This window comes from Homo sapiens, chromosome 11, assembly GCF_000001405.40.
Source record: "Homo sapiens chromosome 11, GRCh38.p14 Primary Assembly".
Taxonomy (NCBI): domain Eukaryota; kingdom Metazoa; phylum Chordata; class Mammalia; order Primates; family Hominidae; genus Homo; species Homo sapiens.
The window spans coordinates 104427513-104454365 of NC_000011.10; the positions used below are offsets into that span (position 1 = coordinate 104427513).

The window sequence follows — 26853 nt, forward strand, 5'->3', positions numbered from 1 at the left end:
TAGTTACCAACAAAAGCCTTTTGAAAACTTTCTTATTTGGGTGAAAGAGTTTAAAGAGTACTTAGGATTATATGGTCATTGAAGAGTTCACAGAATTCCACTGTTGAAATGGGCCAGATGTTATAGAGGCATTTTTAGAATTTTCTCATTATTAGAAATTTATCAGATTTAGCATTTTTAGATTTTTGGAATTTCTCATTATTTTCCTATAGAAACTGGGCTGTTTATTTTTTTCCACATATCTACACATAGGTAAATTCCAGTAAACTATTAATTTTTAGAATATCATTTCATCATTTCTCAAATACATTTGAATAGATGCATGCAATATAGACTTTTAAATCTCCTGTTTCCATGATCATTTTATTTTTCTTTTTTATACTCAAACTTTTTTTATAGATTTTCATTTTTCTATAGTTGAACCTTTTTCATTTATTTTTGATTAGGTTAGCTATCTATTTGTTTATCTCAAGGATTCAAGGAAACAGTGCTGTAGTTTAATAATTATATGGTTTTCTGATTTCTAACTCATTTTCTACTTTTTATGTTTTTCTCTTTCTGCTTTCATTATGAATTTATAGTTTATTTTTATTTCTTCCTAAGTTATTTTGATGCCTTTAGAATTATGAACCTTTTTATATTACTGATTTAGTGTTTTAAATAAATCTTGATGTGTATTATCATTATCATTATTTTCTAGGAAGTCTTCAATTCTACAATGTCAGTGTTTTTTCCTTTGTTGACTCAAGTTAATTAATGTATGTGTGTGTGTGTATGTGTGTGTGTGTGTGTGTGCAATTTTTTTTTTTTTTTTTTTTTTTTTTTTGAGACAGACTCTCGCTTTGTCACCAGGCTGCAGTGCAGTGGCGCCATCTTGGCTCACTGCAGCCTCCGCCTCCCGGGTTCAAGTTATTCTCCTGCCTCAGCCTCCCAAGTAGCTGGGACTACAGGCACCCACCACCACACCCGGCTAATTTTTGTATTTTTAGTAGAGACGGGGTTTCACAATGTTGGCCAGGATGGTCTTGATCTCTTGACCTCGCTATCCACCCGCCTTGGTCTCCCAAAGTGCTGGGGTTACAGGCGTAAGCCACCGCACCCGGCCCTGTGTGTGCATTTTTAAGAGATAGGAGTTTTTTGTATCATTCTTTCGATATGATTTCTACAATTTTTAATTTATCTTTAATTTAATTTAACAAATGTCTAATTTTAAAAATATTAGTGTGGACTTGAAGAAAACTATGTTTTTTATCAATAACATGCAATGTTTCATATGTGTCCGTAATATTTATCCAACTGATTATATACATTAGGTCTTCTTAATCTTTTATTATTTTTGCCCAGGTGATATATCTTGGACTGAGAATTAAGAACTCCAATTATTAGTGCTATTCTGCAGATTGCCCTTTGGATATCTTGTAGTTTCCTGTAACAGTTCTTGTGTTTTTGTTCATAGCTATTGATAACTGTTAATATCTCAATTGTGCATTACGACCTTTAGCATTACAAAATCTCTTATTTTTCTTGCTAAAAGTCTTTGGACTGGACTGTAACTTGTTAGATAACAAAACCTTAACACTGTCTTTTTCTTTATAAAACACACACACACACACACATTTTATAAATTAAATGGCTTTAGCATTACAAAAGCTCTTATTTTTCAGTCTTTGGCCTAGACTGTAATTTGTTACACAGCAAAATCTTAACACTGCCTTTTTTTCCCTAAAAAAAAAAACCCATATTTTATAAATTAAATTATTGAGGTTTAATTAACTTACAGAAAAGCATTGATTTTAAGTTTATGTTGTGATGTTTTGACACATTTATACACTTGTTCACCACCACTACAAGCAACATGTAAAATACTTCTATCGTCCAAAAAAAGTTCACTTTCTATTTATTTATTTATATTTTGGGGGGATAGGTAAATGACTTTTACTAGAACATACAAAATGCATTTTAAGAATGATGTACATTCACAAGTGGCCATTGTTCTTCTCCAAACATCATTCAGCTGAGTGTTACTAGACTATCAAACCCAGAACATAGCAGAACAATGCTATGATCATTAATGTGTATGTCTTTGTGTATGTACTATATGAAATGTCTTCTTTGTGCTTTTCTAATCTATTTTTTTTGTAGCATCCTCAGTGATCTTGCATTTATTTATTGTTATTATTTTCATAGGTTATTGGGGGACAGGTGGTGTTTGGTTACATTAAAGTAAGATCTTTAATGACAATGTGTGAGATTTTGGTACACCCATCACCCAGGCAGTAAACATTGCTTCCTACTTGTAGTCTTTTTCCCCTCACCCCCTTCACAACCTTTCCCCTTGGGTCCTCAAAGTCCATTGTGTCATTCCTATGCCTTTGCTTGCATCCTCATAGTTTAGCTTCCACTTATGAATGAGAATGTGTTTTTTTTTCCCATTCCTGAGTTATTTCACTTAGAATAATAGTCTCCGATCTCATCCACGTCTCTGTGAATGCCATTAATTCATTTTTTTATGGCTGAGTAGTATTCAATTGTGTATATATATATATATATCAATTGTATATATATATATATATCAATTGTATATATATATATATATCAATTGCGTATATATATATATATATATATATATATATATATATATATGAACACCACAGTTTCTTTATCCATTTGTTGGCTCCACGTTTTTGCAATTGCGAATTGTGTTGCTATAAACACGCATATGCAAGTATCTTTTTCATATAATTACTTCTTTTCCTCTGGGTAGATACCCATTAGTGGTTGCTGGATCGAATCATAGTTCTACTTTAAGTTATTTAAGGAATCTCCACACTGTTTTCCATAGTGGTTGTACTAGTTTACATTCCCACCAGCAGTGTTGAAGTGTTCCCTGTTCATCGCAGCCACGCTAACATTTACTATTTTTTTTTTATTATGGCCATTCTTGCAGGAGTAAGATGATATCACACTGTGGTTTTGATTTGCATTTTCCTGATCATTAGTAATGTTGAGCATTTTTTCATAGGCGTATTGGCCATTTGTATATCTTCTCACCAATCTGCTTCCTTTCCCTATGGATTACTTTTCTCAATTTAAAAAATTTGTATAAAGGGAATCATAAGAAATGTTTTCTTTCAAGACTGCCTTTTTCACTAAATGTTATTGAGAATCATTAATAATTTTGCATGTGTTACTAGTAGTAATACGACTGCTAGTAGTATTTTTCTTACTAAATAGTATTTCATTGTTTAGAAACACCACAATTTGTTTATCCAGTTACCTGTGGACAGACATTTGGACTACTTCCTGGTTATAACTATTATGGATAAAGTTGCTATGATTGTTAATGTATATGTCTTTGTGTGTGTTTTCATTTTTCATGGTAAAAATTCAGAGTGACATTTCTGGGTTATTTAGTAAGTGCATATTTAAAATTTAAAAAAACTTCTAAACTGTCTTCCCAAATCACTGAAACATTTTTTATTTCTCCCACTGGAAGAACATTTTCATTTCTTCATGTTCGATTAACACCTGTTATTGTTAGACCTTAAAATTTTAGCCATTCTAAGAGGTGTGTAGTAGTTTCTCATTGTGGTTTTAATTTTCATTTTCCCAATGATCAATGACATCAAGCAGTATTTATAATGTGTATATTGACCATTAATATATCTTATTTAATGACTATCTGTTGAACTTGTTGCCCATGTTTTCTTGGGTTGCTTATCTTATAATTAATTTCTTCACATTCTGAATTAGATCTTTTAACATGTATCTATATGTTAAGAATATTTCCCCACCTTTGAGTTGCCTTTCCATTTTTATCAAAATTTCTTTTGAAAATAAAATATTTAAAATTTTGATGATGCTACTTAGTATGGCACCCTCTGCTTCTAGGTAGGTATAAGCTGTACTTAGTCTTGTTTGAAAAAGCATAAACTTGCCACATTTCCCTTTATTAAAAGTAAATTCTAACTGACTGTCTGCTCTGTTACAATCTCTGCAACCTACTCTGTTCCTTTTGGATTTTTATGTTCCCAGTTACATATGAATTAATTATCATAGTAAATTCATTTTCAGTTTTGCTGTAAGGATGGACTATTATTGGTAATTTACATTTTTAAATTTCTCTTATTTTGCATACATGTGCATTCACATGCACACACTGTAGATTTTAGAAATTAAGTTGTCTTCATTATTAGACCTTTCCTTCAAAATTTTAATTGCAACTAAAATTTCACCAGCGCATTGATGTTCACAGGGAAATAATCTCATTTGTTGGTACTATAATTCCGGAAAAGTAGACATGAGAGGATTTAATTATAGTTCTACTTTAAAAAATTTAAACAAAAAAGAGATTCAGCAATTTTAATCAACTTGTGACCAAACGAAAATGCAGGAAAAAAGCAAATTAATACTCTTCCCGTTCTACTATGTTGATTATTTGTAGCTATTTTGCCCTTGGAAAATTTCAACCTATCTTAATTGAACTAAGAGAACTATTAACATTATAAAAGAGGAGAAATAGTCTATGCTGGGGACTGAGTCAGAATTACCAAAGAGTCAAAGAAAGAGAATGAAGTATGTATGTGAGTGTGCATGTGTGTGTGTGTGTATGTGTGTGTGTGTGCCTGTGAGACAGAGATGGGGAGGGGGTAATTGTTGGGGGTCTGAGATGTTGAGAATGGGTGTTTTTTTGTGAGTCAGATTTCAAAGTCTCAACAATGTGGTCTAATTCATGAAATATATACACACTTTTACTTATAATCCAAATGCGTGTCATAACTTTAGTGACAGTGGTATAAATTATCAATGCACAAATTCTGTAAATATTCCTGTTATAGAGACATTATCCCAAGTAACACTTTGTTAAGGATTTTGTGTAACTTTTGTTTTCTGGAAGTCATTGAAAGGATAAGGAGGACTTTATAGGAGGTTTTTGAACATTAGATAAACATTTGTTCCTCAAGGTGTATTAATGAAGATTGTAAACACTAATGAGAGTGAGATTTTATGAAGGTAAGTGCAGGTTTTGTGGGCCCACACCTGTGTGTAATCCCAGCGCTTTGGAAGGCTGAGGCAGGAGGATCACCTTTGAGATCAGGAGTTAGACCAGCCTGGGCAATATAGTGAGACACTATCTGTAGAAATTTTTTTTTTTAATTAGCCAGGTGTTGTGTTGTGTGTCTGTAGTCATGACTACTCAGGAGGCTGAAGTGGGAGGATCCTTTGAGCCTAGTTCTTTGAAGCTGCACTTAACTATGACCATGCCACTGCACTCCAGCCTGGGCAACTAAGCAAAACTCTGACAAAAACAAACAAACAAAAAAAACAACAGGAAAAAACGGTGGTAAGAATCATAGCAAATAAATTCCATCTTTCTGAATCGACTCATCTGTTGGTGTATGGTAGCCTATCGCATAGGAATGTTTATATTCATGGGCACCTTAAATTCTGATGTTGATTTATAATTACAAATTCTAGTGAAATGGATTTCACACAGCTCAGCTGTGATATAGAGAAAAAAACAGATGTGACAAGTAGCTCTGTGAATTCACTTATTTTGTAATCATCTTGATCAACTAGATATTCTTGATGGCTCTAGTTCAGTGGTTATCAACCCTTTCTGCACATTATTATCCCCTGGGGAACAATTTTAAAATAGCAATGCCAGGAGATACTGGGGGTTGTCAGGAATAGTGCTCATGTCATTTCAGTTAGGTCTTTGGGTATGTGGATTGTACAGACAGGACTGAAACCACAGCTTGCTTTCTTTTACTTTTTTTTAAAGAGTGTGTTAAAGAGAAAAATAGCATCAAAAAAGTCTCGTTCATTTATTTCCCCCAAAAGTATGAGTTTATGTTTTAAGACTGCTGCTCAATTGCAACAGTGGTTCACTTGGGAAAACATGAGGTTTTAAATCAAAGATTTTGTGATGTAATAAAGGAGATTAGGTATGTTTCTACTTAATTCACAAATAGAAGGAAGAAAAGCTCTGTACAGCTGTGAAGAAACTGTGTCTAGAAAAGGAAAGGTACATTATGGGGAAGAAATAACTTTTCAGGATGTAAGGGGATATTATAAACGGTAAAAAGATATGAATACAAATGTTCTTATGATTGCTTTACACATTCTTGTATTAGATTATCCAAATTTCTTTTATAATGGAGTTTGTCTCATAAAATGAAATGTAGCCGTCTACTGAAGGAGTACTTCATAAAGGTTTTCTTTTGACCACCAAATTATGGAACCAACATAAACATACCTCAAGTATTTAGACTTTCCAGATATAATGATTTCCCACATTTCTTTTTACTGAATCGTTGCGTAGATAAGAGGGTAGAAAAAACACATTAATTCCTAGAGAATAGGCAAATACTACACATACATTGAATCTTGACTTGGCAATGTGATTCTGAAAAAAACACAAATCAAGATAGGGAGTAATGTTTTGGAAGCTAGTAAGCCCAGCATTAAGAAATCTTTTCCATGTGTAATCCATTGCCACCACAAGAAGCATGCATTGTAATTGTTTTCGGGTGCTACATGTACACTATCTTTATGGGTCAGGAATATTGCTATAAGTTATCTTTGTTCTGTGAATATTGTCATAAAGATGTTATGAGCCTTTGTTCACACTGGTTCTTTGTGATAATGTTTTTATTTATGTGTTTATATTATGTGTTTGAACCCCTTAAAGAACAAAGTGTGGTATTTAATGAAGTATAGGTAGTCTTCTCTTAGGTTGTATTTATACACTAAAAAAAGTATATTCCCCTATTAATTCACATGACAAGATGCCCAGATCAATATTGCTCAAAGAGTTTGTTGTCATAAAGATCATGCTACACAGTAGCTGGTTTTCTACTTATATACATAGTTGTTTTCTCTGGCTAACATAAAGAGAATGGATAAATTAGTAATTGTTTTGATTATTTGTCTTCTATTGTACAATGTACACATTTAGAGAAGCATAGAAAAGAATGTAAGCACACACGAATTTTCATATTTAGATCATGTATATTTAAATTTGTCTAAACTGATTATATGAAACAGCTGATTCTCTTTATGCTTTGTACTGAGGAGATGCACCTTTAGAGAAAACAATAAATCATTTTATCTTCTGAATGTTTGAAGTCAAATTGAGACTGCATCCTGGAAATAGCTAAGATCAGATTACCTCTTGGCAGAATCCAATGCACGTTAGAAAAGCAGAACCCATTTTGCTGATACAGGTTTTAGTAGAGGAATGAAATATAAATAAATTTTAGCTTAGGCTACTACAAAAAAAGATCAAATAATCAGAGGCAATAGCACTTTTTTCCTCCCAGGTTCCCTGTGGATTTTCTTTGTGATGAAGTCGGGGTACTTAGGAAGTACATGCACAGAACTAAAATGAGCTGTGGCAACCTTGTCAGACTGCATTTTACAGCCTCCTTTGTAGTCTGCTATATGAGTTGCCCTGGCCAAATATAGTTTTCTTAGGCTTCATCTAAGAGAATTAAAGAAAGGTGACCTCATTCAGCCAAAAATACTGCCTAGAAGTGAATTTTCCCTTTACATCAGCCTATTTGCAAACTATAGAAAACTCTATTCAGAAAGAGTTGTGCAGGGACGATTCAATCTAAACATGGCTTTCTTGAATTTGAACACTTGGAATCTTTTTGACAACAGAAGTTTGAGAAACTTTTTAAAATGCAACACTTTTTTTAAAGAATGGTTCAGAGAAATGCTAAAATTACTATTTCTATTAAAGAAGTGGTCTTAGCAGAATGTTTTATTTTTTTAATTTGTTAAAATCCTGTTCATGTGTTTTAAGCAAAAAAGTTCAAACAAGAACACTCAGTATCTTCACTTATTCATAAAATGTTTAAATAGTACAAACACAAATTATCTTATAAATGCTATATTTTGATAATATCATAAGAATGTTCTTTACCCCTGAGTTTATTTTTGTAAACTAGAACATAGTACATGCGCAAACTAGGAATAACAGCACCTACCTCAAAGGGTGATTGTGACCATTTGATAAGCTGGGTCATGTGAAGCACTTAGAAGAGTGCCCAGCACAGAATAAGGGCTCAGTCAATATTGGCAATAATTATTCTTTTCTTAAAAGGATCATTAGAAGTCCTCACATTCATGGGTAAGGATGGTAAAGTACAACAGTAGTTGTCCCCAAACCACTAACAGTGTGCAAGCCACAGATAAGAGGATTGGCCCCACACAGGAGTCAAATTACATTCTACCAACAATTTTGCCTGGACTCTCTTTATTTTTTCATCAGGATTACTGCTTAAAAAGCATAAAACAAATTATTAATGTCAAATTAATGTTCTATTCATTATACTTCAAGTGAAGGTGTTCTTCCTGTTGACATAAGCATTTTTATAATCAGATCACAAAATACACAAAAATGATGTGAAAGGAAGTAAAAAAGAATTTAAATGATGAGGGGGAAAAAGGGCCATCATCTTCCTCTTGGAGAAGGCTGAAAGCAGATATTCACTCAGGAACTATTTAAAAGAGACCGTGATTGAAGGCACTATAAATTCAACTGAGAGTGGCTGGGGCTGCACCAACACTGAATACCGGAGTGGGGTGTGTGCCTATGCCATTTTAAATAAAATATATCTTTATGAAAAAAAATCACCACATGTTTTTTTCAAGCCCTGAAATTGGGTGACAAAATAATGATTTTGTGTTTTACTGGGCTCCAGAGGCTGTCTGAGAGATATTAGTTGAACATAAGAAGTTTAGAATTTTTCGACCCTTTGACACTTGATGTCTAAGACAGAAAGTGGGGGAATGGATAAAATTTAGGGAATCTGGGTTGCCCTGGACAATGATCCAATTACTGGTACTTCAATGCAATGGAAACAGTATTGTGGGTTAGCTAGAGATCAATCTAGTCTCAATGAACTGTTATTATTTCTGGTAATGTTATGGCTATGGGCTTGAATCATATATGGCTTCCTCAGTTTTCTCAATTTCAAATTACAAGTGATATAATTTCAAGAGTTCTATGCTGGAATACTTGCTTTATGCACTAATAGCTAATACTTCACAGGTACTTTTTCCTGTATGCTCCCTGGAAGTGGTTTACGTAATATGGCTCATTACAAGGAAATATGTTTCTTCCTTGACCTAGTTTAAAAAATTCTGTCGTGGGTTTTGATTAAATTTGTATTCCATATCTGACAATGGTGGTTAAATTCCTAAATATATCAACCGATATCCTTGTAACACTTACAGCTTTAGAGGAACCCATAAACAGACTGGGTTAGAAAATTAACTGAAAAGGATGCCTAGTTGATCGGATTAAGCAAACTGCAAAATACTGACTAGCTATGGTTTATTAATTTATGATTGAATTCCTTTTAGGGGCCTAGATATGTGCCACCCTTCTTGAGTAATTCAAATTAATGATTAATGGTTTACACAGTATTATTAGTTACAAATGACGGAAACTAAGACAAAGACATTTAGTATAAGTATTCTTGAGTAGGTTATATAATTTACCTAAATGTGGTTTGGGAGGTACTTAAGGGAGGAAAGGTACAGCCAAGAGCCTAAGGCTTATGATGTCACTACCAGAATTGCTACCAGGGTTTGGAATCTGTAACCCCTGAACACTTGCTGCAGGGCTCCAACCTTGATTCTACTATCACGCTTGAAAATCATCTCTATTTGACCCTCTGCATCTCTGTTCACTCTCTCTTTTTTTTTCTTTTTTCTGTTATTTATTTATTTATTTTTTATTATTATACTTTAAGTTTTAGGGTACATGTGCACATTGTGCAGGTTAGTTACGTACGTATACATGTGCCATGCTGGTGTGCTGCACCCACTAACTCGTCATCTAGCATTAGGTATATCTCCCAATGCTATCCCTCCCCCCTCCCCCCACCCCACAGCAGTCCCCAGAGTGTGATGTTCCTCTTCCTGTGTCCATGTGATCTCATTGTTCAATTCCCACCTATGAGTGAGAATATGCGGTGTTTGGTTTTTTGTTCTTGCGATAGTTTACTGAGAATGATGGTTTCCAATTTCATCCATGTCCCTACAAAGGACATGAACTCATCATTTGTTATGGCTGCATAGTATTCCATGGTGTATATGTGCCACATTTTCTTAATCCAGTCTATCATTGTTGGACATTTGGGTTGGTTCCAAGTCTTTGCTATTGTGAATAATGCCGCAATAAACATACGTGTGCATGTGTCTTTATAGCAGCATGGTTTATAGTCCTTTGGGTATATACCCAGTAATGGGATGGCTGGGTCAAATGGTATTTCTAGAACAGGCAACCTACAAAATGGGAGAAAATTTTCGCAACCTACTGATCTGACAAAGGGCTAATATCCAGAATCTACAATGAACTCAAACAAATTTACAAGAAAAAAACAAACAACCCCATCAAAAAGTGGGCGAAGGACATGAACAGACACTTCTCAAAAGAAGACATTTATGCACCCAAAAAACACATGAAAAAATGCTCACCATCACTGGCCATCAGAGAAATGCAAATCAAAACCACAATGAGATACCATCTCACACCAGTTAGAATGGCAATCATTAAAAAGTCAGGAAACAACAGGTGCTGGAGAGGATGTGGAGAAATAGGAACACTTTTACACTGTTGGTGGGACTGTAAACTAGTTCAACCATTGTGGAAGTCAGTGTGGCGATTCCTCAGGGATCTGTTCACTCTCTCAAGACTTAACTCTGGTCCATTCACCTGCCCACTCCTTTAGGCAACTATTTTATATGATCTCATGTTTCCTGGAGTATCCAATATGCCCTGGTTCCAATTTTCAGCTGATAATCTGACCTGAAATTTCACTAGCTTAAAAAAATTTTTTTTAAGTAAACAGCAAAACAGTAGTGGAAGCAAGCAGAAGAGAAATTAGATGTGCTCACATTACTAAATCTACTCATGTAATTGCATTGGAAACTGTATATTCTTTTCCATTTTCATGGATGGATTATTTGTTCTTCTGTTTACAGCAAACTCTTCCGAGTGACCACTGGATCCCACAAATTTCCCTCCAGGACTTTGATCCTGAAATTATCCCCTATCTTTTTTCATTGTCACTTTTTTCTCTGTATCGGATAGCTTGCACTGTTGTATAAATATGCTTTAATATCTTGCTACTCCATTTTCATGCCCATTTTTACAAAGTCCTGAAAACCTGTCTATATTTCCTATACCTACCTCATCTTCTGTCTTCTTTTGAATCAAGTCCAGTGAAGCTCATCTCTCCATCATGCCATTAAACTATTCTTTTCATATTTCCTAATTATCTATGTATTATCTAATCCAATCACCAAGAGCATGTCCTAATTTTATTCAACTTGTCCACAGGATTTGGCAAAGTCTAGAAGTTTTTGACTCATTTTCTTTATTTGACTTTGCTTTTTCTCCTCCTCCCTGGCCAACCTCTGTCTCTTTCTCTCCATTCTTCTTACCTTGCCAACTTCTAAATATTGTAATGCATCAATACATATTCCTTGGATATCCTGTTTTTTTCTACCTACAGTCACATTCCAGCAGATCTTATCTGGTCTCATAGTTTTCAATGTTCTGACTTATGACCTTCATCTACTTCTTATCTCTAGCCTTACACTCCTGCTCTTCCCCACCTTTTTGTTTTAGTAATGTCTAGTCCATTCGACCACTGGCTGAAGCTAAAACCTTTTCCATTTCTTTTTTCACGTGTGTCTTCAATTCACACTCCAAACTCAAACCATCAAGGAAAAAATATTGTAACTACCTTCAAAGTATGTCTAAAATTTTATCATCCCTAACCCGCCTACATGACTACCACCTCTGACCAAGTCACCTTCATTTCATAACCTGGAAGTTTTATCAAGCCTTCTAAAATGATCCCCTTGCTTCCAGGCTGCCCCAATATAGAATGTACTCCACACAGAATTATAAGAGATCTGTGTAAACTCTTAAGTCAGATCATGCTACTTCCCATGAGCTTTTCTCAGCTCTTACGAGTCACATGATCTTAGAGTTTACAAAGATCTCTCATATTTCTGTGTGTAAATTCTATATATTCTTATGAGAAAAACAATACCTGACATATACAAGAGACACTCCTTTGTGTCTTTTTCTTTGTTGCTGCATTTTCTGCATCAGCCCCTGGAACAGTGAATAGATAAATATTTATTAAATGAGTAGCAGGACTGGGCAGCCAAATCAATACATGCATTAAACATTCTTTCTTTTGAATTGTTTTCAACTAAACAATTTTTTTAAAAAGCTGGAAACTCAGAACAAGGGTCAAGTAATCAAGTAGAAAGGCATTTAAGTTGAATGTCAAACTGAGGCTATGTAATATTTTCAATCTGCACTCTACAAGCAATAGAGATTGTTTCCATATCACATTGAGAATCTAGTTATCTGCTTTAATATTACGCTCTGAGAACTTGCTGAACCATGAGTACAGTTGCATTCATGTTGCAGAAGCAAGTATTTTATTGTAATGTTATATGGTTCAATGGTTAGCTCCCAAAATACATTTGCTCTTCAGGTTTGTTTGTTTATCTTTTGACAACACTGAAGCATTTTTTTAAATATATAGAATTCTAAAATAAAAGAAGATAAAGCATTATGAAGAAGAAAAATCTTTAATAGAGCTATTAATCGCACATATTGAAATCCCACATTACTGATGGCACTGTGTTATAGAGTTTAGATGGCTGCTGGAAGATTACTTGAGTAAATAATTTTTTTCTTTTTTTAAAAATTTCTTTTATATATATATTATTATACTTTCAGTTCTAGGGTACATGTGCACAACATACAGGTTTGTTATATATGTATATTACCTAGAAGTTCAGTACTTGTGCTAAATACTGAAAGGGACTTTAAAATGAATATTATAATTCGTAGATTCTGGATATTAGCCTTTGTGTCAGATGGATGGATTGCAAAAATTTTCTCCCATTCTGTAGGTTGCCTGTTCACTCTGATGATAGTTTTTTTTTTTTTTTGCTGTTCAGAAGCTCTTTAATCTACAAAGAACTTAAACCAATTTAAAAGAAACAAACAACCCCATCAAAAAGTGGGTGAAGGATATGAACAGACACTTCTCATAAGAAGACATTTATGTGGCCAACAAACATATGAACAAAAGCTCATCATCACTAGTCATTAGAGAAATGGAAATCAAAACCACAATGAGATACCATCTCACAGGAGTTAGAATGGCAATCATTAAAAAGTCAGGAAACAGCAGGTGCTGGAGAGGATGTGGAGGAATAGGAATGCTTTTACACTGTTAGTGGGAGTGTAAATTAGTTCAACCATTGTGGAAGACAGTGTGGCGATTCCTCAAGGATCTAGAACCAGAAATACCATTTAACCCAGCAATCCCATTACTGAGTATATACATGAAGGATTATAAATAATTCTACTATAAGGACACATGCACATGTGTGTTTACTGCAGCACTTTTCACAATAACAAAGACTTGGACCCAACCCAAAGGCCCATCAGTGATAGACTGGATAAAGAAAATGTGGCACAGATACACCATGGAATACTCTTCAGACATAAAAAAGGATGAGTTCATGTCCTTTGCAGGGACATGGATGAAGTTGGAAACCATCATTCTCAGCAAACTAACACAGGAACAGAAAACCACACCCCGCATGTTCTCACACATAAATGGGAGCTGAACAATGAGAACACAAGGACACAGGGAGGGGAACATCGCACATGGGGGCCTGTCAGGGGGTGGGGGGCTAGGGGAGTGATAGCATTAGGAGAAATACCTAATGTAAATGATGGTTGATGGGTGCAGCAAACCGCCATGGCAGGTGTATACCTATGTAATAAACCTGCACATTCTGCACATGTATCCTAGAGCTTAAAGTATAATAATAATGAAGATGAATATTATAATTCAATAAGCACTTCTGGGGAACTACAAAGATCCAGGCATATGCTAAATTCTAAGGTAATTTAAAAGTGAATTAGAAACAAAACATATTTCTTGACTTTGTGTAACTTATACATAGAACAAGACAGTGTATGTTCTTAAGGAGTTTATACATTAGTGAGAGACAGATATCTACATGAGCTTCAGTTTAATATTTAGTGTGATGAGAACAACAATATTTAAAAGGCTAGCCTGGTGCTGTGACTCACACCAGTAATCCCAGCACTTTGGGAGGCTGAGGACGGAGGATCACTTGATCCCAAGAGTTCGAGACCAGCCTGGGAAACACAGCAAAAGTCTCTCTCTCTGTATGTGTGTGTGTGTGTGTGTGTGTATATATATATATATATATATATATATTTATATATATTTATATATGTATGTATATATCTCTATGTATGTGTGCGTGTGTATGTATATATGTATATATATATCTCCAGGTGTGGTGGCCTGCGCCTGTGGTCCCAGCTACACAGGAGGCTGAGGTGCGAGAATCATTTGAGCCCAAGAGGTAGTAGCTGCAGTGGAGCATGATCATGCCACTGCACTCCAGTCTAGTGACAGAGTGAGACCCAGTCTGAAAAAAAAATAAAAAAAAAAGTTAAAAGATTAAGAGATCCAGAGGGGAGTGCTGTGAATTCTGACCATATGACCATGGAACTAGGATACCAGGGAGCACTTCATGGGAGAAATGTCATTTATGTTTATTTTTGTAAAGCATATGTAAAAATTTGACAGGTGAAGATAGAGAAAGTAAAAATTGAGTATAAACAAGAAAAGGAAAGGGAAATTTCTAAAATGGTATCTTTTAGGGGCATTAAAGCTTACAGAAGTTAGGGCAAAGAACATATCATAATGGAAGAAGCTTTTTATCAATAATACCCAGTTTACTTAATTTGTATTAAGTATATATACATATGTTTGTGATATATATGTACATATGCACACAACCACACAATTCTGAGTTAGCTTATCAAGAAATACAAGATTTGCATAATTTTGCTTTATCATTGAGCTAGGTTAATATTGCCTTAGTAGTCAGAGAAGCATGATGCAACGAGGTGGAGGAGTTCATTGTATTACCACAAAAGGAGGAAGTACAGCCAGCTTAATCTTTAATACTGTATGCTGACTAAAGTTTTCAAAATTATTATTATTACTGTACAGAAAGTCAAATTCTTGTTTTCAATGTTATTAGCATATTTTATAAATTTAATTGAAAACAATTCAGATTTGGGGGAAAATGTATGTTTTTTATGTACTATTATTTTACATATTTACTTAATAATTTATTATCTACTAGTGTAAGACATCCAGTCCTATAAAATAAGTGTTATGCTTAAAATTGAGTCCTAAAAAGCTTCTAGAATGACTAAATTAATCAGTTAATTGATAAATATAACCAATGAGTAGTCAAGACAATGAATATTAAATACCAATGGCATGGCATATGTTACCCATTATTTTGGAGTAAAAATGTCACATTCAAATCTGGCAAATGTGTAAAAATACATATTTTCACAAGTAATATATAAGAGTATGAAACATTACAGAAATTTTTGGAAGTATTTTGAGAGTATCTATTAAAAGTTCTGATAAACATAATGTTTGACACATTGTAAGAATATATCCTGAGATAATAAGAGATTTTTGGTATAAAGTATTATGAAATATTTCATACTTATACAAAAGAATACATTAGATAATTCTGGTTTAAGAATTTACAGTTTTAATTTTGTTTTTCAACACATAAATAATTCAAAATAAATTAATTTTTCCATAAGTCAGCTTGTCCCTCTATTACTTCATTTTCTTCTATTGTTTTTTTTTTAAACTGCTTTGATTCATAGTGCTTTTCTATGGAAAGAAATGGATTCAAAGTGACTTAGAAATTAAACCTTCAAAGATAAATTTATATATATTTTCTCACATATGTACATGAAGAAAAGGGGCACAAATTATCAGAAAATGTTTTGAATCTTTGACAAAATTAAAACCAAAAACTCTGGTACTAATAGAAAGCTCCTATTCAAAACTCTTGGCTCATTTTTCTCTCAACTCATTTCCTGCTGAACAAGTTATTTTCCTTGCCAATGGAGTTCTTGATTCAGTGCCATTTCTTTTTAATGGATTGGTTTTCTTTGTTAGGTTTATTAGGCAGCACTCAGTATTCACCCAAGATGAGTACTGATAGGTAATAGATCTTAACTTAGTAAAGCTAATTGACAGGAGTCCTGATTATAATTGCAAAGTTGTTATTAGAACAAATGACAAAACAACAAGCTACTCTTGTTTAATTAATTTTTACTTAGCAGCTTTAAAGGTAAATTTGTTAATATTCAAAAGAGTGGAAGGCCAAGCCGTCTGCTCCCATCTACTATCCTGTTACTTACTATGAATAATATTTATGCATTTGAATGCTGCCAAGACAATTCAAAGTCAAGAAGCTTCTACTTATAAACACATTTTTGTTCTCTCTTGCAGGTATGGTATCTCTTATCTATAGTTACGAATGAAAACTCTTAACTATTTCATTCTCTAATACAATTTTGAATTTACCTGCATCCTTTTCCTGGTTGTTTCCTCTTCAAAATTCTTGTTTTTTCTGTTATAATATTATTCATACTGATGATAGTACTGTTACTAAATTATATTTATCTTTTGATAATACATAACATTTTTTGAGACATGTAAAAGAATGACAATTTTTATTGATCTTAAATCAAGGTATAACTAAGTTAATTTGATTGAAAAGTTAAGTGACTTCTTTAAATTATGGACATGAACTAGTTACATTTCAGAAAGTTCTCCCAGGCTGTAAAACTATTTCTTAGTGGAACTAATGCTTAATATCAAATGCATAATATCAAATGATATTATGTTTACTTGCATGCATAGTTTTAGGTTTTCATTATCCTGTATCTGCAAGGCAGGCAGGCACAGTGTCTGCCAACAGTAGTTTGTTGAAAAAGTAAATAAATAAAAAATAAAAAGAAGACTGTAGCTATATACTAACTTAAGCTTTACTCCAAAACACTGTTGGTGTTTCTGCCTCCCATTTCTAAATGTTACATGATTTCAGGCCTTTCCTCATTTAACATCTTACGGAAATAATGAGAGAAACAAATGAGAAAGTGAGGGGGCTAAATCCATGCTTACTTATCTATGATTTCACTGTTCTTCCCAGCACTTCCTGGCTTAAAAGGGAAAAGCTCTTTCCACTTATAAAACTGTTTTGGATTCCTTCTTCTTCATATCTTCCCAACTGAAGAAACTGAATTATTAATAGAATGAGGGTGTTATTTCGATGTTGATAATAAACTTCTCCTTAGAACGATAGTCACTCCACTTCCTTACTTTTTATCTCCTAACCTGTAATAATCAGAGAGTTGTCTTCACAAACACATTCAAATTTTTTTTGAAGACTTCCGTCTTGATAAATCTGTTGATTGTATTTGACCCTCATGTTGCCCAATAGTAAAGTCTGTGCCCAAATGTCACCTTTTCAGAGAGGGCTTCATTAACAATTCCACCTAAAGAAGATTCCCCACTCCTCACCCACTTCATCTTATCACTTTGCTTTATTTTCTGCACAATATTTCTTACTATTTGACTTCTTCCTTCCTTCCTTCCTTGCTTGTTTCTTATATAGGCCTGTAAATATTCAGGAACAATATTAAAAAATTACAAAAATTTACTAAAGACTACACATGCATATTAATCAGTGAGAATATTCTATATTATTAATGCCAATTTTTCTAAATTAATCTATGTAATGCAATCTCAGTCAGACTAAATATGCAGATGATGTGGAAGAGAAAAAGTGAAAGAATAGAGAAGAAAAGGAAAAAAAAGAACCAATGGAAAAAGAATGATTCATTTGAATGAGAGAAATTAGATTTCTAGTTCATAACATTTTAAAATCCACATTGATTAAAGAACTAAGTGCAATAAAATAATTATGAAAATACTGTCAAGAATATTTTAGCGTGGGGGGCCTTTTGCAGTAGAAAACAAAACAGACAGCCATGCAGGAAGAGAAGATAACTTTAACAAAATAATGATAATTTTAAACTCTTCTTTATGAAGAAAGATACCATGAGCCAAATAAAAAGACAGCCTAGCACAATAGAAAAGATGGAAGATAAATATTAAAGCTTAATCATATATAAATAATTTTCTTAAATCGATATGGTAAACACAAAAAACCCAACAGAAGAAAAATGGTCAATGGCTGTTAACAATTCACAGAAAATCAAAGTTTCTCAACCTCATTTTCAATGATGGTTATATAAACTATAACAGCACTGAGATTTTATTTTCCCGTTCGATTTGTAAAATTTTTAAAAATGCCTCAATACTTTCAGTTGGGATAAAAATAATAAAAAACAGAAAATTTCAAATACTGTTTGAATATAAGTTTTATAAAGTAATCAAGAAATTTCTATCAAAATTTAAAATGTGAATACCCTTTATCTCTCACTTCTTCCTTCCTCAATTTTCTTCTAGATATTCTCCCAAAAAGGGCATTTAATTGCAGCAAGTTTTCTAGTAGGAAAATAGAGAAAGATTAAATAGTTATTGATTTGTGTAATTTGATAATAGATTCTGTAGCCATAAAAACAATTGGAAACAAATATACTTCTCTACCTATGACAAATATACTTCTTTACCTATGACAAATTTTGTAAATCATTAATCTTATCTATTATATGAACTGCAAAAATTATCTTCATTCATGTATATATGCGTAAATATGTATGTAAATGTATAAGAACACTAAAAACATGTAGAATGTCTTAAATCTTTGGATTTTATTGTGTATATTTCTTTTTTATGGGGGTCTTATTTTAACTTGTGCATACAAAAATTTTAATTTTGAATTGCTTTTACAAAATGTGTTTAAAAACATATCAAAAGTTAATACTAATAATTTTTGTGAATGAGGGAAAAAACTAGTCTCTTTAGTAACTGTAGCTACATAATCTCTATGGTAACTACACTTAACCAAAAACCATACCCACTACTTAATGAACACATACATGTGTCAATTACTATATTTATTAAATTTTTGATTTTATAGATGAGAATACTGAGCTAAGAAAACTGTCCAGATTTACAGAGCTAAGAGTTCTCAAAGATGTTCACTATTTTTTTTAAGTTTTTTTTTTTTCCTTCAACTTTTGTCTTAAGTTCAGGGGTACATGTGCAGGATGTTCAGGTTTGTGAAATAGGTAAATGTGTGCCATGGTGGTTTGCTGCACAGATCATCCCATCACCTAGGTATTAAGCCTAGCATCCATTGTCTGTTCTTCCTGATGCTCTCCCTCCCCACACAACCCCAACAGCTCCAGTGTGTGTTGTTCCCCTCCCTGTGTCCATGTGTTTTCATCATTCAGCTCCCACTTGTAAGTGAGAACATGTGGTGTTTGTTTTTCTGTTCCTGCATTAGTTTGCTGAGGATAATGTCTCCCAGTTCCATCCATGTCCCTGCAAAGGACAGGATCTTGTTCTTTTTTATGGCTGCATAGTATTCCATGGTGTATATGTACTACATTTTCTTCATCTGTTCTATCATTGATGGGCATTTAGGTTGATTCCATGTCTTTGCTATTGTGAATAGTGCTTCAATGAACATACACATGCATGTATCTTTATAATAGAATGATTTATATTACTATGGGTATATAACTGGTAAACATTACAAGCTCATGGATAAGAAGAATCAATATCATAAGAATGGTCATATTGCCCAAAGTAATTTATAGATTCAGTGATACTCCCATTAAACTACCATTGGCATTCTTCACAGACTTAGAAAAAAAAACTATTTTAAAATTCATATGGAACCTAAAAGGAGCGCAAATAGCCAAGAAAATCCTAAGCAAAAACAAAGCTGGAGGCATCACACTACCTGTCTTCAGATTATACTGCAAGGCTACCTAACCAAAACAGCATGGTCTTGGTACAATAACTGACACATAGACCAATGGAACAGTAGAGAATGTAGAAATAAAACGGCACACCTACAACCATCTGATCTTCAACAAACCTGACAAAAACAAGCAACGAGGAAAGGACTTTCTATTTAATAAATGATTCTGGGAGTGCTGGCTAGCCATATGCAGAAAATCAAAACTGGACCCCTTTTTTACACTGTATACAAAAATTAACTCAAGATGGATTAAAAACTTAACTGTAAAACCCAAAACTATAAAAATCCTAGAAGAAAATCTAGGCAGTACCATTCAGGAAGTAGGCACAGGCAAAGATTTCATGATGAAAATGGCAAAAGCAATTGCAGCAAAAGTAAAAATTGACAAATGGGATCTAATTAAAGAGCTCTGTACAATAAAAGAAACTGTAATCAGAGTGAACAGACGACCTACAGAATGGGAGAAAAGTTTTGCAATCTATCCATTTGACAAAGACCTAGTATCAAGACTATACAAATAACTTAAACAAATTTACCAGAAAACAAACAAACAAACAAACAAACCCCATTCAAAAGGGGGTAAAGAACATGAACAAACTCTTCTCAAAAGAAGACATACATGAGGCCTACAATCATATGAAAAAAAAAGCTCAACATCACTGATCATTAGAGAAATGCAAATCACAACCACAATGAGATACCATCTCACACCATTCAAAATGGCTATTAGTAAAAAGTCAAAAAGCAACAGATGCTGACAAGGTGGCAGAGAAAAAGGAAAGCTTTTATTATACATTGTTGGTGGTAGTGTAAATTAGTTCAACCATTGTGGAAGATAGTGTGGTGATACCTCAAAGACCTAGAGGCACAAGTATCATTTCATAATCACTATTAATAGTTTAATTTTTTAAAGGTGAATATTTAGAATATATTTTATTTAGATATATTTTAATGTAATGTATTATAAATACAAAATATGAACTCACAATAGACAAATTAAAAATGTTGGGAGAGATTAAATAAATACCTGTGCTCTTCACAAAGATCTTAAAGCTTTTATTGATCTGATTATTTAGAATTATGCACTACAAAAATGGGGAAAACTGTTTTAGCTAACATAGCATGATATAAGCAGTAAAAGCCACTTTATTCTTGGTTGCTTGAGTTCAGGGGTGATACTCTGTATTTGCTTTAGGTTCCAAGGTTTACTATATGTTGAACAAAACTGCACACATTTAAGAAACAAACACCAAGATGCAGTTTGAAGTACAAAAGGATCGTTGGGAATAATGCTTTGAAAAATATGGACAGGAGGGGAGAACAGGAGTAGGCAGGGAAGACTGTTAGATCATAAAAAGATTTGGCACCTATTGAAGGAGAGGAAAAAGGAAGATGGTTGCATAGGAAAAGCCTTAGACTGTGGTGGTGCTCAGAGAAAAGTCTCAGTCCACTTAACAGAGTGCTTTGGCACAACATTCCATGTAGATGAGTTGACAATGAGTAGAAGTGTACCAAGCCCTGGTACCATCATCAGGCTTTAATGTATTTTTCAAGCTGTCAAAGGAGAGAGTGGCCTTGGCTCCAATATCACAGTGGATCTTAAAGGTGCTGTACTGGGAGGCTCTCAGCTAGCTCCTTCCCTTTGGGAGGCTCTCAGCTAGCTCCTCCCCTCTGTGGCTGATCCACAAAGGGACCAGCATAGGTCCCTGGCTGCCATACCACATGACACGTTACTTGGGGAGAACTTTAAAATATAGCTTAGTTAGTACTACCTGCTGACCATTTAATTCTCTTGTGTTGTTGTATACAGTTTGCCGTGATTGGAATATGGTTGTATTTTATTTATATATTCTATTCAATATAACTGTGAAAAATACATGAATTAATAATACATTACAGATTCATAAAAGTGATTCATCTCAGCATACCTTTTTTATCTTTTAGACCACAAAGGTGCAGTAAATGATGTCCTGGAGGAGTTACATCACATTTCACATGTCTAGGGGTGTCACTTGTCATTAACATGCTCAAAGTATCTAAATCAATGAGCCATGAAGTGTTTGAGCAAGCTGGGAGAAATTCACTACGTGAATTTAATTATTTTCCTAATTACAAAAATATACGCATTTGAGAGAAATGTGTTAGATTGCTGGAGTGCTTTTCCATAGCCAATGGGCACATGTTTGTGTATCTGTGGGAAGGCTTTCTATCTGATGTGACTGATTGGTTTAAGAGATGATTAATATTTTAGTATTACCAAAGATTTTTTAAATAGGAAATGATTTCATTGGCTTTATAAACAAGCTAAAACTATAATTCATTTACTTTTGGCCAAAGTCATTCCAAAAATATATTAACTAGTCTAAATGTAAAAGTTTAATTACTTTTTTACCTACTTTTGCATACAGATTTTAGAAGTACCCTATGTTTATACATTAAAGATCTATTTATAGGTACTATTGCTTAAATGTGTTTCAAAATATATTTATCCATATCTCTAGCTCAGTGTCTAGGACATTGCCTCATGCAGAGGATGACCAATAAACATTTGATGCAAGAGTTAATAGTTATTTTTTTCAAATATGTAACATACTCATTAATACTTTTATATCCCACAATATCTAAGGAATATTAGAATTAAATTTGGTTCAAAGGTTTTCTTGACAAAACTAAGAAATATATTATTAATTTTGTGGTAAAAAAGGTTAAAAATGATATATGACATATTTCTTTCTTATATTGGTTATTGGTAATAGTATTTTTTCATTCACATCTTGTGTTTTGGCACTGGATGCCTCTTGGGGGCAAATAATCAGAAATTAACAATGATCTTCAAAGTAAAATGCTCTGTGAGAATCTGTGAACAAGCTTGCAAATGACACATTTCTATCCCCATTTTCATAAATGTCTATTGCTATTAACATCACTAATTAATATTGTGCCACAGAGAGATTTGCATCTTTCTGAAAATTATTTCTCACATAAAGCTTAGCATAAAGAAAATTTAATGGAATGAAATGATGCTGTGGTATGTTGACCTTGTATATCGGTGCTGACCCTCTTTTATACCTGCTTACCAATCACTCATTAACCTTTTGTCCTGTTCTTTTCAAATCCTATGTTGATAGCCTAATAATCATGAACAACTTGGTTGTGTTTAATTGCAATTTATCAGCTAATATTGATATCCATCTTGATAAATTGTGAGACGATAAAATACAATTACTTTGTATAGTCTGTGTTCAGATGTAACCAATGTAAAAGAGACCTGACTTAGCCTCTTTTTATGAAGACTTTTCTCTTTATAATATGGTATTGATAATAACAGACTAAATTTGTCTTCATGTATGCCCTTTAGAGAGATGGAGGGCAGGCTAACCTGGCAGGCAGGCCTGTCAATTCACCAGCACTATGTTGATTTCCAGGAGGTCTGCCCCCTTGGAAGGCCAAGTACAAACACCAGAGGGCCAAGAGCAGAATATTCTGTGTTTATTATATGTCAGGAATTATGCTTGGGGTATTATATTATTTTCTCAGTTAAGTCTTACAGTAGAATAGATGGCTAAATGCTATTATTTTGTTTTATCAATAGAGAAACTGAAACTCAGTAAGTCAAATAGTAATTCTTGAGTAAGATTCAGAGGAAAATTAAAATTTGGTCTAATCATAAAGTTTATGTTCTTAACTGTTAAGCTTTAGCCCCTGGGACAGAAAAACAGTTTGAAAACATATATGTATATGAACTTTACAGTGACTCCAGCTTTCTTAACCACAGAGAATTCACCCACCAACGGAAGAAGAAAGTTATGGAAGCTACTAGGTAATTTCCTTTAGGTAATAATATCCTTGTACCCTTCCCAAATGTGTCCCATTCTACCTTTCCTCTGCCCAGTCTATCTGACTATGATCCTTGGCAAGGCACTGGGAATCGGGCTCTCATTCTGTTCCTGGCCTTCTGGTGTTTGTACTTGGCTTTCCTGGAGTGTGGCTGCTGGCTACTGACAGGTTTGCCTCTAGTTCCGCCCCTTGGAAGTGAAGACAAGTGCTGTTGAATTGACAGACCCACTTGGCAGGTTAGCCTCCCTTCCATCTTTCTCAAGGGCATATCTGGAGACAAATTTAGTCTGTTACTATCAGCATGTTATGAAAAGAAAAGTCTTCATTAAAAAATGAGTTTAAGGCAGGTGTCTTTTACATTGGTTTGTGAATCTTGGCGTAAAAATTTGTCTCTGGACTCAACATCCTTAACCCTTTCCATAAAAATGTGTTTTCTCAAGATAAAATGAACTTTGCATTCTGTTCACTCTGGGATTCTATATTTTTAGCTTTCCTGTGATTTTACTCCCCATCTTTTTGTTGTTGGATGTTGTCTCCCTGGCTTCCATGCCTGGTTACAGACACTGACAAACTACTCTTGTTATCTGCAGACGGGTAAGTATTTTATAGTTCAAGAATGTGAATGGCTGAGTTAAATTCTTGAAATGTATCAAAATAAGAATAATCTCCCTTCATATGATATTATATAGAAATCACCTCTACAGATATGTTCTGGAGGAATATTTATTCTGGCTGTTTTCCAAAATCCTCTTGGGAAATTTCAGCTGGCTAGTGAGCACTGGACTGAGAGATGATGTCAAATCCTGCCTCTGCTATCTTCTAGTTATTTTACCTCCAAGTGAGTCACATCAGTTTTATTCTTTTTTTTTTTTTTTTTTTTTTTTTTTTAGCAGAGTCTCACTCTGTTGCTTAGGCTGGAGTACAGTGGCGTGATCTCAGCTCACTGCAACCTCTGCCTCCTGGATTCAAGCGATTCTCCTTCCTCAGCCTCCTGAGTAGCTGGGAGTACAGGCATATGCCACCACGCCCAGGTAATTTTTGTATTTTTAGTAGAGATGGGGTTTCACCATGTTGGCCAGGGTGGTCTTGAGCTCCTGACCTCAGGTGATTCACCTGCCTAGGCCTCCCAAAGTGCAGAGATTACAGGCATGAGCCACCACACCCAGCTGAGTCACATCAGTTTTCTATACTTTGTTTCCTCATTTGTAAAATTGGTAAATAATGAGTGGATTTTAACTCTCTTGATCCTGGGGTATAGTCTTGGGAAAAAATGGGTTTGTTCCAGAATATAAAAGCTTATTTATAACCCTGTGTCCTTTGGGGCTCAGGATCTCACCTTTCCTTTTCTTAAAGGCACTGATTCTCTACCTCTGGTGCTTAGTACCACATTGAGATTTTCTGTCCCCATGGAAACAATGAAATTGAAGCATTACTCATGTCCCAGAAAGTGGTGTGTGAAGACTTGTATGTCCAGAAGAACCACCAGCTTCCAAACTTGTGTTTGCTGGTGAACTATAGAAGAAAGGAATGTGGCTCACATTTTACTCCAGTTATGTAACTGCCTTTGTAGATTAAATTCATATTCAACATTACCTTTGGCCATTGACATAAAAGCTGCTGTAGCTCCACTATATCCTTCTTTGCTATATTCCTCCAAAAGAATGAAAAAGTTCATGTATGATAGGCTGACTATGACCACAGTGAGGGTGAAATGGAGACACAGGTATTGAGGCTGTTAATGTTTTCTCTCCTTTGTCTGGTCTTGTTTTTTTTTTTTTCCCAGTCTTCTACGCCTAGCATTCCAAATCCAGGGATTTAGTGATTTTTAGCAGTCCTTCTCCTGCTTAAAATTATTCTAACACACCTGATGCTATTTGTACCCAAATTCCTTATTTCCCTCCTTCCTGGATTACTTTCCTTATCAACTAGTTGTTGGAGGGAAAGTGAGAGATTAAATTCATTTCTTGTATATGTAAAGAGCTCAGAGCTTCTTATAAGTTGAACTTTGTATTGAAAAAAGGATTAACACATCACAAAAGAAAAAAGAAAAATACCAGTGATGGGGAATTTTCTGGTTTTATAAAATTCTAGATAGTTGAGATAGAAAAAACATATTTTAAAAAACAGAATAGTTTTTCTAGGGCCTCATAAATCACAGCACGGGAGTGTCTAGCTCCTTTACTTACCTTTATACCATACACTTTATGGTTATAATCTTTAAACATAAACACACAAAACCCTCTCTGTTTCATCCTTTTCTACTAAATGTCAATTGCTAGTTCCCTTGTTTAACTTCATATTTAGTTCAATACTTTTACTTTTGTCTTCACAGTATAAGTTTTATCTTTAACCCTGGGGATTTTAATAATAATCTATTGTTTTTGAAATGATTATGTTTTCAAGATTTAGTATTCTGGGAAACTTAATATTAAATCAAAGTTTGAACTGTTCACTCAATATTACTCTATGAATTTATATTAAAAAGCTCTTAATACTCAGGTATTAGGATAAACTTACACTGAACCCAAAGTAACTCAGTCTTTAAAAACTTTCAGTACACCCATTTCCCTTTTATTATTGATAAAGCTAACAATTATATCTTGATGATCTAGAACTATATAGATAACGTTTTTTAATAAATGCCGAGTTCTCATTTCCTGAATCACCTTCATTCTTTTGTGTTCACACTGGCAGAACTTGCTGTTTCTACCAGAAGAATCATTTTGATTGGGAATGCAGTTTTTAGTAGAGATGGGTCAGTGTGGCTATGACAACATGGTGCTATTAAAACTAATAGAAAAAGGACTCATGAGAACTCTATCTTTGTTCAGGTTATGATCACTTCCTTTCTCAGAACCATTGTTAGTAGTGAAACAGGAGACAGAAAATGGCCTCCAGAATGATTGTCTTCTGGTGGATTTAATGATATCGTATCACTTCTCAACGTGGCTCATCATTGTCCTCCCATATTCTAGTCAACATATAAAACCCATCATTCCATTCATTTGATTTATTTTTAATATCCCCCCAGCTTCTATTATGATCATATTTTTCTTTTCCTTGTCATGAGCTATTGGCCAAGAAGTGTGATGCAGATTAAGGGGTACCATCTTAGTCCATTTAGTGTTG

General features: G+C 34.0%; 1 annotated feature.

Moving 5' to 3' along the window:
* Positions 24120–25319: an enhancer, noted in NCBI's record as "CDK7 strongly-dependent group 2 enhancer chr11:104322360-104323559 (GRCh37/hg19 assembly coordinates)". NCBI's record gives its function as "activates an origin of replication core promoter dependent on BRD2, BRD4, P300/CBP, MED14 and CDK7 cofactors, with strong dependence on CDK7, by STARR-seq in HCT116 cells {active_cell/tissue: HCT116}" and the evidence as "EXISTENCE:reporter gene assay evidence [ECO:0000049][PMID:35650434]".